The sequence below is a fragment of the Homo sapiens genome, chromosome 10 (genome assembly GCF_000001405.40).
Source record: "Homo sapiens chromosome 10, GRCh38.p14 Primary Assembly".
Lineage (NCBI taxonomy): Eukaryota > Metazoa > Chordata > Mammalia > Primates > Hominidae > Homo > Homo sapiens.
The window spans coordinates 92,980,094-92,993,825 of record NC_000010.11 but is presented as its reverse complement, the minus strand read 5'-3'; the positions used below and the strand labels follow the sequence as shown (position 1 = coordinate 92,993,825).

The 13,732-nt window shown below is 34.4% G+C and overlaps 1 protein-coding gene across 12 annotated transcripts in view, besides 1 other annotated feature; it reads right to left on the bottom strand.

Annotated features, from left to right (window-relative positions):
• EXOC6 (exocyst complex component 6) overlaps nucleotides 1–13,732 on the bottom strand; it is a 232,660-nt gene that overhangs the window by 65,665 nt on the left and 153,263 nt on the right. The window lies entirely within an intron of this gene.
• Nucleotides 2,815–2,904: an enhancer, noted in NCBI's record as "active region_3780". NCBI's record gives its function as "activates an Ori minimal core promoter by ATAC-STARR-seq in GM12878 lymphoblastoid cells {active_cell/tissue: GM12878}" and the evidence as "EXISTENCE:reporter gene assay evidence [ECO:0000049][PMID:35858748]".

Genomic DNA, 13,732 nt, shown 5'->3' with positions numbered 1-13,732 from the left:
TGCCAATCACAGGAACAATAAACCACAAACCACCAACCCTCAGTTTAAAAGGAATTAAGAAAACACATCTGCTTGTATGTCAAGACAAATTTCCAAAATAATTTACTATCATAGATTAGGCTAAAGACACTCTGTTTCCTGTGAAATATCATAAAATAACAAGGTAAAAACACAACATAGTTTATTAGATTATGGCTCAAAACTGGTTTGTTTTGAAAGTAATGTTTTCATGATCTACTCTAATATAATTGTAAGAGAAATGTAGAACACTTAAAAACTAATTTGGCCCATTTAAATTTTCATTTGAAGTTTTCATTTGTGTCTTACCATTTTCTTATTTCAAAGGTCTATTAAAAAAAGGTTTGATTTCAACAGTAATTATTTGAAAGCACTTTACAATGCTGCTTTCATTCTCTCAAGTACATTTAATGTTAAAATGTGCTCTTGAAATCACATTCTTTCCGTATTGGTCTACTCATCCTTAATGATTCCAGGAGAGTCCATTTTTCTTTATTTATATTCCCACAAAAGGTTAACTTTGTACAATAAACTACTTTTTTACTTAAGTAAAAAGAAATACACAGACTCAAATATATTGTACAACATATTATTCTTTACATTGATAAAAGGTTTTGTTTAAAAAGTCTAACTCTTGTCAAAGAAAAAAGGAAAAACGAAATAAAATCATGGTCAATTTGGATATTAAACCTAACACTGATAAGTGACTTCATTAATTCTGATTCTGTATGGCTTTTTAAAGTTACCTAAATTAACGCAGTAAAATATTATCATTTTATACAAACTCACTATCATCATTTGCTACATAAATTTCAGTTATGAGAATATGAAACAGTCTTTTTCAGAAGCAAAAGAAGGGAAGTATTTTAATGAATTAAATTTTTAATTCATTAATGAATGAATAAATTCATAAATTAATGAATTTAATTTCATTTCAGTATGTGTATTTTAAAAGGTTATAAATTGTAGCTCTCCTAAAGAGTATGTGTATTTTAAAATGTTATAAATTGTAGCTCTTTTAAATTTTAAATTTAAATTTTAAAATACACATACTGAAAGAATGAGGTATTTCATCAGATGGAAACACTAAAATTAAAAATTAAAAATAGTTAATTGAAATATTAAAAAAGAGGTATAGTTGAAAAACAGGTATTTTAATTCAAGAAATCTGTTACTCTTCCATTTTATATAAGAACCACTAATCTAGAGTTTTACTATATGGAACATCTTGTTCAAATGTAAATACTGTTATGAAATCAGGAAAAAGATACCTAAAACACAGAATATGAAACTTTCCCCAAGATTATTTCACAAATGCACAAGAATTTCTGTACCTAGTAAGATCAGTTTTAATTCATTTTCTGGCTGAACACTGTACATAACACTGAAATGTCTGATTCTCAATAATATAGAATAGATATGTTATAAAGGTTTAAATATCAAGATGAATTCCCTTAGTGAGTTCAAATAACATTAATACTACCTTGAAGACAAATTTTTTTTTTTTTTTTTTTTTTTTTGAGACAGAGTCTTGATCTTTCACCCAGGCTGGAGAGCAATGGAAGGATCTCGGCTCACGCAACCTCCACCTCCCAGGTTCAAGCAATTCTCATGCCTCAGCCTCCCAAGTAGCTGGGATTACAGGCATCTGCCATCATGCCCGGCTAATTTTTGTATTTTTGTAGAGACAGGGTTTCACCATGTTGGCCAGGCTGGTCTTGAACTCCTGACCCCAGGGGATCGGCCCACCTGAAGACAAATTTTTGAAATTATGCTCTAAAATTCATAGATCAAAATATACTCATTTTAACACCCACAACATTCCCCCAAATACCTCTTTACACTCTATATTCCTCTTATACTCTATTTCTGTCCATCTCTAACTACTTCCAGCCCTGAAAGAATGAATTGGGACACATCAGTTTACCACAATCCCACAGTCAACTATAAATTCCCATTCTCCCCTCTCAGGTTGTTCTCCTTCCAACAATTACCAATCATAAGGGTATGAGACAGTAACAGAAATGTCTACTCTTAAGACACACACACATACAGAGAGAGAGAGAGAGAGAGAGAGAGAGAAATAGAACGTGATCATCTTAAAGTTGAAAAATTTTTTCCTGAACTGGGAAAACCACAGGACTGCATAATACATGGCGTATTTTTACTTCCCTCAAAACTTCCCCTATCCCAATCATAGGGCTTATCAAACTTTGGCAGTCTTTTTGTTTGTTAAACAATCTTTTGAGTATGGCCTTAGAAGGCATGCAGTATCCAAATTTTTAGCTTTCTACAAGTATCACTGCTTCTGCCATGGCAGTCCCATGATATTGCCAAACTCACCCTAACTTTTGTTTTTTTTTTTTTTTTTTGAGATGGAGTCTCACTCTGTCACCCAGGCTGGAGTGCAGTGGCACCATTTCGGCTCACTGCAACCTCCGCCTCCCAGGTTCAAGCGATTCTTATGCCTCAGCCTCCCGAGTAGCTGTGACTACAGGCGTGAGGGACCATGCCCGGCTAATATTTGTGTTTTTGGTAGAGACGGGGTGTCACCATATTGGCCAGGCTGGTCTCAAACTCCTGACCTCATAATCCGCCCACCTCGGCCTCCCAAAGTGCTGGGATTACAGGTGTGAGGCACCACACCTGGCCAGACTCTGTCTTGGGAAAAAAAAAAAAAAGTTGCCAGAATCACTAATGGTTTAGACAACAGAAGTGGTTTACATATAATCATTAATTAGTAAAGTTGACAAATGTCACTCAAGCAAACTGGCTTCCCTTTCATAGATGTAGGTGGCAGACTATTATAAACAGCCATACACAAAAAGATAGCACAAAGTAGGTCTTTGTCACTCATGAATTTGTATTTAGGTTTCAATTCTTGATATTGACTCTCAGAGTCTAGTACAAGCAGAACTTCATTTGCTGAGGCACACATTTGAATAACATGTTCTGTGAAACGGGTTATGATGGGGGAAAAAATGACTCAGAGACTGAGTGCAGTCAAAGTCTCAACCTCCCTGGGGTTGGGGGAGGGAGAGCATTGGGATAAACAGATAATGCATGCTGGGCTTAATACCTAGGTGATGGGTTGACAGGGGCAATAAACCACCATGGCACATGTTTACTTATATAACAAACCTGCACATCCTGCACATGTACCCTGGAACTTAAAATAGAAAAAAAACACAGAAAAACAGTCTCAACCTTCCTAACACAACGTGGCTTTGCTTTCTTCTGTTAGTTAACATGAATGAAGTAACTCTCATTAAGGTCTACAGCTTCAATTGCATTTTATATAGGTCTTTCCTAATCCACTGGCTTCCTACTAAAACTCTCGTGTTGTTTCCTTTTAAAAGCCCTTTCATTACTACTACTTCCAACTAAGCCCTGACCGAGGGCAATTCAAAATATTGTTTTCTGCAATGTTTGACATCAGGAAAATATTTAAGTATGCTATGCTATATACAAACTTAAGACTTATAATTTATGAAATTAAATTTCTCACCAAGATTAGCCAGAACTTGGCTAACTTAGACAACTTAGTAAATGTCTAAAAGGATTAAAGTTACGAAATACAAATATGTTCATTTTCAACTAAGAAGCAAGATTTTAAAAAATTAACATCTAGTAGTGAAAATCAACTGTTTTATAACATTAAGAAAAAGCTTAATAAGAAAAAAATTCTATTTCAAAGAGTGGACCTTGACTATTTCCAAATTTTTCAAATATTTTGTCTCAAAGTTTTTTTAACTCTTTCCAATACAGGGATATATTATATTGTCAATGGTTTGTTCATGTTGATTTTTGTATACCTGGAATTAACTCATAACAATGGATATAATATAAAAATGGATATCAAAATATGTCATAGAAATACCACTTTGATTCCCACAGAAATAACTACAACATAAAGAACTTTTTGAAAATACTCGATATTCAAGTGCCAAACTTTCAAAATCTCTAATGCAAATTTATCTAAAACTGATCCCATTATCTGTCCCTGCCTCCTTAAACTGACAATAACAATTTGAGTTTTTGGATGGCCGGTCAGTTTTACTTCTGAATATCACTTCTGTATGTTGAATTATATGGTTCATCAGCAGGAAGTCTGTTAGCAAGCTTAATAAGCACTCAATGATTATTATATCGAGTGAGTAAAAAGGGCAAATGAAAGCCTAAGGGTCTGTGTCTTCAACAGGACAAAGTATTTCTCCTTAATGTTGGGAATTTGCAACAGTTATTCTGGTGCTAAAGGGTCTTTTGTTTTGATCACTACTAAATTTACAGTTGAGTCTAGAGAGCTGTGGTTTTAGTTACTGTATTTTTCCTTCACTGAGGTGTGCAAGAAATGAGTAAAGTATAAATACAAATATTTCTAATCAGTACTGGTATCATCTTTACTAAACTCTCATACAGATATTTTCCAAGTTTCTGCCTGAGAATAATAGATTGCACCTTCACTTCAAAACTAGAAAGTATTCTCTATTTGACAAATTTCAATTTGGAAATTGATTTTTTAGGCAGTATACTTTTATACGCTTTATACAAACAAGAAAATGACCTTCATGTTGTCCATTTCTTCACTCTTTCATACTTAACAAAACACTTATCAAGCAACTACTTTGTGTAAGACACTGTGTTAAGTATTACCGAATATACAAAGATGAATAGATGTAGTTCCTGACATAAGAGGTGTAAGTTCTACAATAAGGAAAAGAAGGCAAGTCTACAAACAGCAGTAGTATAAAATAAAAACAGGACCATAAAAGCAAGACAAAGTATCCACATGCAGTTAAGTGGAATCAGCAAAGGCTTTGTGAAAGAGGTTGCATTAGAATGTCTTTGGGAAGAGATCCAGGATTTTTACAGTTATAAATAAAGCTAAGACAGAAAATCCAAGATAGATCCAAGACACAATGAATATGCCAGTTTGGATGCACATGTTTAGTAATGGTCAGAAATGCGTGTGTGTGTGTGTGTGTGTGTGTGTGTGTGTGTGTGTGTATTTTTTGTAGAGATGGGGTTTTGTCATGTCAGCAGTGATCTTGAACTCCTGGCCTCAAGTGATCCACCTGCCTCGGCCTCCCAATATGTTGGGATTACAGGCATGAGCCACCGTGTCCGGCCTCAGAAATATATGTGGAAAGAGGCTGAGATAATTTTCTTTTTGCTAGCCTGTGGAATTTCTACTTAATTCAATAGATAATCAAGAACCCCTGATGTTTCTGAATAGGGAAATAAAATTAGACTGTGCTTCAGAAAGAATAATCTAGCACTGGTATATAGGATGGACTGAAGTAAGGAGACACTGTTGGTAGAGACCAATTAGAAGACAATTACATTAATCAAAACTTGAACTTCAGTAACAGGAATAAGAACAGAAAGAAGAGGATATAGGTTAGGAACACTTGCATTTCAAATGCTAGATAAGATTTTGTTTTTCCCTAAGAAGAATTTTCAATATTTATACATTCAAAGAATACTTGTTAGTTCTTATTCTGTCAAGAGCTCACAAGTAAAGGTGAAAAAGACAAATACGGAAAAAAAGCAAAATACGATAAAGCCGTAAAAAAGGTAAGAGCTAAGGCAATTCAGAAGACCAATACTGGGCTGGGATGAGAAAGAAATACCTGCACTGGGTCATGAATCACACTGGGTCATGCACTGGGTTAGACTTCTACGAGTGCAGTTTGGGATCAGGGTAGTAGAGAAAAAGCATTCAGGAAAAGCATAAACCATCTTTGAAACAAGTAACGATAACAACTAATATTTTTTGAGTATTTATTATATGCCAAGCACTTTTCTAAACATTTTAGGTATACTATTTCATTTAAGCTCACAAAAATCTGTAGGGTATATGTTGCCACATACCTCATTTTACAGATGAGGAAAGACCACAGAGAAGTTTCCAAATGCACCTTAATATTAAGATGCATTTGAGGTGAGTGCAGTGCTTTTACAATCTAGTCTCAGAGAATCTTGACTGCTTCACAAACAACTAATATTACCTTCAAATTTAGGTTTCCACAAAACTAAAAATTTATCAAGGATGTTGCCAAAGTAATTAGCCTTTAATTTAAATACCTAAGCAGAGAAAAATAAGCCTGCAGGAAATTCATTATTTTCTAATGTACATGCTAGCTTTAGTTTATATCTACTTACCGACATGGCTGCATGATCATTGTTGTTAGTCTGAGAAGGAAGTCAGCAAGGCAATCAAATAAAAAAGGAAAATGTATTCTAATCACAGCAGAATCAGTGTTTAAAGTAGCAAAAGGGAATATACTCTAAAACAAGCAAGTTCTTTCTGTGTTTGTTGCTAATTTAGAGGCATTCATCTATCACATAAATGTGACCATAATTTTTTATTTTGAAGATTTAGGCATGAGTTTTTACATCCATACTAATTAGACAAATCCTCCTCCAAACTTTTGTCTCTCTCATCAAGTTGTCTAGTCAGAATTAAAAAACCAAGAGCTTTAGCACTTATGTCTACTGAATAAGCAAATTTAGAACACATCAGTTCTTTGACAAGGTTCTGTGCTACAGAGCAGTGATTCTCAAATATTAAGCAACAAATGCAGCTTGTTAAGCTTCAAAAATTTTAGTTGTTAGGTCTAGGGCCAAGCACTGGAATCTAAATATTTAACAAGAAGCTCTTCCCACAGATGATTTTAATACAGAAAGAAATGTCAATTTCTTCAAAAACGACAAAACTATAGAGAATATATTATTCTGAAGATGCTTAGGATAAGTCTACTTCTTCACATAATCTGCTAATACAGCTTAAATAAATTACTCGAGGAAAGACGGCACACTAAATTATTTTACAGCTAATTATTTAAATGTTTTGTCTCCCCTAAGGAGTGAATAGCAAGTCAAAGTAAAAACTAAATCACTGGTCTCAATTTAAATACATATATGCCCCTGCCGTAGTTCTGTACTAATTATAAGGTACTGGCTTATTCCTTAAAAACATTAAGGATTAAACATTAATTCCATAAATAATAAGAATTAATTAAACTATCCTTAAAGTACTATTTAATTTTTTAAATTACCTAATTTACTTTTCAAATTTTAATAATAAAATATATGGTATTCAAGTACTTTTTTTTTTTTTTTTAGAAAAAGATATTTACCCAGATATGTGGATTTAACTTTATTATATTAGGTCAATGAAACCAGAATTTATGTATTAGTGGAAGCTGAACTTCCAGTATCGCCTAGACTGAAGGTCCCCCTCCATATGGGAAGCTGCCCTCTTCACCAAATACACAATGAGTAAAGGAGAAACCACAAGCAGAAATGGAAGAAGCAGATACTCACTAGCCAGGCTGGTCAACCTAATTAACCCTAGTAGGCAGTGGGACAGCAGTTGTGTTAACCAGACAAAGAACTCTTCTGGAAGACTGGAATAGACCCTAGATAAACACTAACTTTTTTCTAGATTAACTTCGAATAAATTTTATTTGCATTAGTAAAATTATCCCACCATCATAGTTATTTTATTCAACTATATTTTCCACATTCTTTAATCTTTCAAAGTGTATATAAAGATGTCTTAGGAGATATAAAGGCCACAAAGTTAAGATGAAATTCAGATAAAATTTAGTAACCTAGTCAATAAAAGTCAGTCAACAACATTCAACATATAACTACCATGTATGTCACAGGATGTGATAATGAAAGTATCACAGTTCACAATATATCATTTTTACATGAATTAGATTCAATAAATCACATCAACATTAATCAATGCCATTATAAATTTTTAAAAATTAACATTCAAGTAAGAAAAACCAATTTTTAAGGATATATATATATATACAATATATGGTTATATTTTCATTTGATAGGGAAAACACATAAATGTATTCAAAGCTGCCTACGTCATAATTTAAAAATTGCAATCCTTGTATTTTTCAATTCTTTTTGGTGTCACATAAAATAAAGGGTTATTAAAGCCATGATTGTACTGTTGACTACTACCTTTTTCCTTTACAGTTTTCAATCATGTAAAAGGCCATCTGAACCCATATACTTAGAAAAAAGTGTGAACCAAAAAATAAAGGGCAGAAAAGTGCAGAGCTAAAAGAGGACATGAGGTGTCAGAATAAGTAAATCAACATTTGGATTGAAACGTTACATTTGTCTGAAAGAATGATGCTTACAAACATACAATATTATATACAGGGACTTTAGAGATGATCTAATCTTCTAGGAGAAGGAAGCAAGTTGTTCAGAATCAAGATGGCAGACTAAGTTAATGTTTACTCGTATCCTGAGATACGAGTAAAATAAAAAGTATAGAACTTCAAAAAAGAATAAAATGTTTTCAACAGCAGAAAAAAATGAAGGTGTATGTGGGAATTCATGAACGGGTGCTTTCTGCAAGACAGAAAGCAGATGAAACAGAGAAAAGAAAGCCACTGCCCGTTATATGCTAACAGAGAAGTAGTACAGTAGAGCTTGGAGCCAGCTGTGCATTAGAAGTCCAGAGTTGCAGGTATGAATGAGGATAAAAATGAGAAACGGGATGGAAAACAGGGAAAATAACTGAAGATTTCTGAAACAATTGTACCAATGATCCCCCACCCAGAGGGCCAGAGAGCACAGGCAATTACCCTAATGAAAGAATATTTTGGGGAGAGCTGAGGATCCTGATGCAGGGAGAAGTAAAGGGGAGCACAGGAGAGCAGAGGGGGATGGGGCAAAAGGAGGAAGAGGGAGAAGAAGGAAAGGGAATACATTCTCTTGATGTTTCTTAGAATTCAGGTTTTGTTTTGTTTTGTTTTGTTTTGTTTTTGAGACAAGGTCTTGCTCTGTTGCCCAGGCTGGAGTGCAGTGATGCAATCATGGCTCACTGCAGCCTAGACTTCCTGGGCTCAAGCGATCCTCCCACCTTAGCCTCCCAAGTAGCTGGGACTACAGGTGTGTGCCACCACACCCGGCTGATTTTTTGTATTTTTTGTAGAGACAGGGTTTCGCCACATTGCCCAGGCTGAAGAATTCAAATTTTAAAACAGATACTAAAACCTGGATGCCAGAAGACAATGAAGAAATGCAATGAAAGTACACAGAAAAAGCTAATCAACCTATAATTATATAACCAGCCAAACTATCAATCAAGCATGAAGACAGAAGACATTTTCTAATATGCAAAGACTTAAATAGTATATTTCCCTTTTGTGGGAGAGTTATTAAAGTTACTGAAGTTTTACGGGAATTCAGCAAAACCGACTGGTAATTTTAAAAAAACAACAACAAAACAAAACAAAACAAAAAAACAAGAAGCCTGGGATCCAAGAAACAGTTCCTACCACAGGAGAGCAAGGAACAAAAGTCCCAGGGTAACAGCTATGCCCCAATTCTAGAGAGCAACCGGTACTGGTTAGGGACAAAGACCTCTTAAAAGAGGCCTCTTGGAAAGAAGACATTTTCACACAACTGAAGGAAAGGAAATTAGAACACTCAATATGATGAAGGTACAATATTCACTCATCAAAAAGGAAAAAAATATGTTTTAAATATTAAGTCAACTAAAATGTGTATAATTTCATTAAATAATGGAGTATAATTTTAAAAAATCTATTTGGCCATGATGCTAGAATTATTCTCCTTCAAGTGCCCAGAACTTGGATACTGGACCCCAAAATGAAAGGAAAACAAAAAATGCAAGCATACTATGCTTTGTGTAAAGGGAACAATATGGGCATAATCATAACAAACACCAGTACTGTTTACTGGTGTTTAGCTTGGAAAGCCAGCCTACGAGAAAGGATAGATTTGATTGTGGTTGTCAGAATGTAAATACTAATAACCTGAATAAAGATAAAAATAATAGTATAGCTATCAGAAGAGAATAGATGGAAGAACTGATGGAGCAAAGGAGAGGAAGGCTAACTCCCTTATTTCAAATAGAAGGGAATTAAGATACTGATTAAAGTAGAAAGAACCAGAAATAGAAGTACAGTATAACTATTTTATATAAAGAAATAGGCTTGGCGCAGTGGCTCGTGCCTATAATCCTATCACTTTGGGAGGCCAGTGTGGGTGGATCACTTGAGGCCAGGAGTTCGAGACCAGCCTGGCCAAAACAGTGAAACCCCATCTCTACTAAAACTACAAAAATTAGTAGGGCGTGGTGGCGCACGCCTGTAATTATCCAGCTACTCAGGAGGCTGGGGCACAAGAATAACTTGAACCCGGAAGGAGGAGGTTGCAGTAAGCCAAGATCCCTCACGCCAATGCACTACAGCCTGGGCAACACAGTGAGACTCTGTCTCAAAAAAAAAAAAAAAAAAGAAGAAGAAAGAAAGAAATAGAAGAGATTTTAAAATGTAACAATCAATACTTTAAAAAAGGGGAAGGGAAAGGTTGCTACTTGTACTTTTGTATTTCACAGGCTCACTAGATATTCTCTGTTTTTTAATAAGATAACCACCAGAAGAAATAAAACCAAATAGTGAAAAACAGCAGTCTGGAAGACTGGGAGTGGAAATGGGGAAAGGGAAAGGAGAGGGTCTATTTTCCATTCCAAACTCTTTTGGACTACTTATCACACCATTTATGTGTATTAACTGGAATGAAAGCAAAACAGAACAACCTTTATTTTTAGCTCTATGAAATAAAATAGACATTAGCAAATTAATCCAGAGGTTAAATAATTTGTCTGCTTTCACAATAGCGGTTAATTGGAAGAATCAAGCCTAAAACCCAAATCTCAAAAATTTCAAGATAGTGCTGAATTCTCAGAAAGAATTCTTAAGGAGAGAATGATTTTAAAAGTTAGATACTATCCATTTCTATCCAAATAATGTATCTTTATTTATTCTTGAGCATATATTTGTTTCTCAATTAAAGAAAGCATATTATGTTCTAAAATCATTAATGGAAACTAAAAATGCAAATTAAAAATTTAGTAACATCAGAAACATTTAGTGGGAAAATAATTTACAAAGGATACTAAATTGGCACATCAGTAAAACACTACAGCCCAAAGCAAACAATTAAACCAAGGAAAAAAAACTCTTCAAAGGAAATACCTGAAAAGAGAAACACCTTAAAAGGGACAGATGGAGAAGAAGATGCTGTTTAAATAGAGTAACACTTGTACATTTCCCCATCTTGAAAGAAGTTTCTACTATAATAGTTTTAATCTTATTATTGAGCATATACTGTGCTTGATTTCTTGAGTTAATAAAAACTAAACAATTTTTCTTTGACAGCATGATTTTAAAAGTTATGCTTTATTTAGTGGTGTGCTAGTAAATATGTAACAATGATTCTCTGGGGAAAAAGCCTTAATTTGTATCCTTTTTTTAAAAAAATGGTCTAATCATTTTCTAGACCATTTTTAAAAAAATGGTCTAATCATGGTAGCCTACCATGGCTACCAATGTGATGCCACTGTCAAGGCACAGTTGGAAAGAAGTGTGCACAATTGGATCTTGGGATATATATTTCCCAACATGATCTTGAGGCCATTTACTAATCTTAGAGTAAAAGATATTCAGAGGAATACTCCTGTTAATAGATTTTTTTTAATGGACAGCTTTTTAGGCATCTAATCTCTGATGTGAGATTTTCTTGAAAAATACCCCAAATTACCACATAGAGAACCATATGCCAACAGTAAATTCATATTATTACTAAAGATCATGTCTGGTTTTTTTGTTTGGTTTTTTTTGAGACGGAGTCTTGCTCTGTCACCCAGGCTGGAGTGCAGTGGCACAATCTTGGCTCACTGCAACCTCTGCCTCCCGGGTTCAAGTGATTCTCCTGCCTCAGCCTCCTGAGTAGCTGGGATTATAGGCATGTGCCACCCTGCCCGGCTAATGTTTGTATTTTTAGTACAGACGGAGTTTCACCATGTTGGTCAGGCTGGTCTCGAACTCCTGACCTCATGATCTGCCCAACTCGGCCTCCCAAAGTGCTGGGATTACAGGCGTGAGCCACCGCACCCAGCCGATCATGTCTTTTTTTTAAATTGTCCATCATACCACTTCCATTAATGCAGAAAATCAAAAGTTAAGCATATTTGAAAGCAAAGGAAAAGATATCTTTCTGGGAATAAATTTTTTGATATTTAAAATTCAAATTAGAACCAGATTTATCTACTAATTTAATATCCCCAGAGTAGTAGCAAAATTAAGCAAAGAATATTACATTATACTTAAAGACAAAACAATGAAGAGTTTCTAGAAAGGAAGAAAAATGAACAAATTGATCATTCCATATCTTCTATTTACTTCTACCATAAAAGACAACCATGTGTTAGTATAAATATTTGCATAAATTGGGTACCTTTAGTGATAAACACATGTGAAGACATTTTTAAAACTCACTGTCATTTACATGTCTCCCCTATGGCCGGTAAATCAATAAACTACCTTCATTAAAATGAGTACACAATTAACATTTATAAAGGAAGAAAATGTTAGCTGTTATTTCCAGAAACAGACCAGTGCTGGGTGGTTAGGCAGTAAGTTCACAGTAAAACGTTACTGAGTTCCATTTGGCAGTCATGAAGAATAACAAGATATGTCCAAGCTGCTCAACAACTTATTCTACTTATATTCATGTCAGTGATGAATGAATGTTTAATGTTTTTAAAAATTCTTCTGGTTTAAGTTTTCTGGCTAATATAAAATCTTGTTTAAAAAACAAAGCTTGCTTATACAATCACCTTAGAATAGTGTCATAAATGCATAGAAAAAGAGAACCTCAAGAATACTTGCCAAAATGTTAACAGTGATGATTTTTATTTTTATTTTGTAAGACAGAGTCGTGCTCTGTCGCCCAGGCTGGAGTGCAATGGCGCGATCTAGGCTCACTGCAACCTCCGCCTACCAGCTTCAAGCAATTCTCCTGCCTCAGCCTCCCGAGTAGCTGGAATTACAGGTGCCCGCCACCATGCCCAGCTAAAACAATGATGATCTTTTAACAAGATAAAGGTGATTTTTGCCTCCTTCTTTATACTTGGCTATATTTTCTAATTGTCAGAAAAAAATTATTAAAAGAAGGGAAACTTATACATTTAAAATATTGAAAATTGGCATGATTTCCAAGGGTACTAATTTAGAGATAAAATTACATATTAATCAGACCTCATTGGCATTAGCTAGCATCTGACTGTTAGCAATTGTAAGCACTGCAACTCAAGCTATAATAATGATTCAAATATGCCTTACAATGAATGCCTTTCATAATAAAGAACATTTTCAAGTGGCTGTATAATACAAAGTCATAAGAATGAAAACTAATATCAAGTTTAAAACACAGGCATAAATATAACAAGAAAAAAAGTGAAAAAAGTTTCATTACACAATGAAACTAATACTATAGTTTTAAAACTGTAACAAGGGAAGAAAGGAGAATAAAAGACCAAACTAACATTTATTAACAGTACCCACTTTTTGCCAAGTACCCTGCCAGACAACTTCTCTACATACTATTTTCATTCATTTTATGACAGTCCTATGGGAAAAATGGATTATGCTCATTTTGCAGAAGGGAAGAGGCTCAGAGAGATTAAGCAACTTGCCAGGATCCCATAGCTAGTAAATTACAAATCTAAAGTTCAAATATAAGTATTTCTAACTCTACAGCCCATCTATGCACATCCTCAAGCACTCAGACCTCTAGAAACAATAAAAGATAAACATTCCTCACGTGAATTTGCCTTTTTATTATTCTAATTGAAGATACT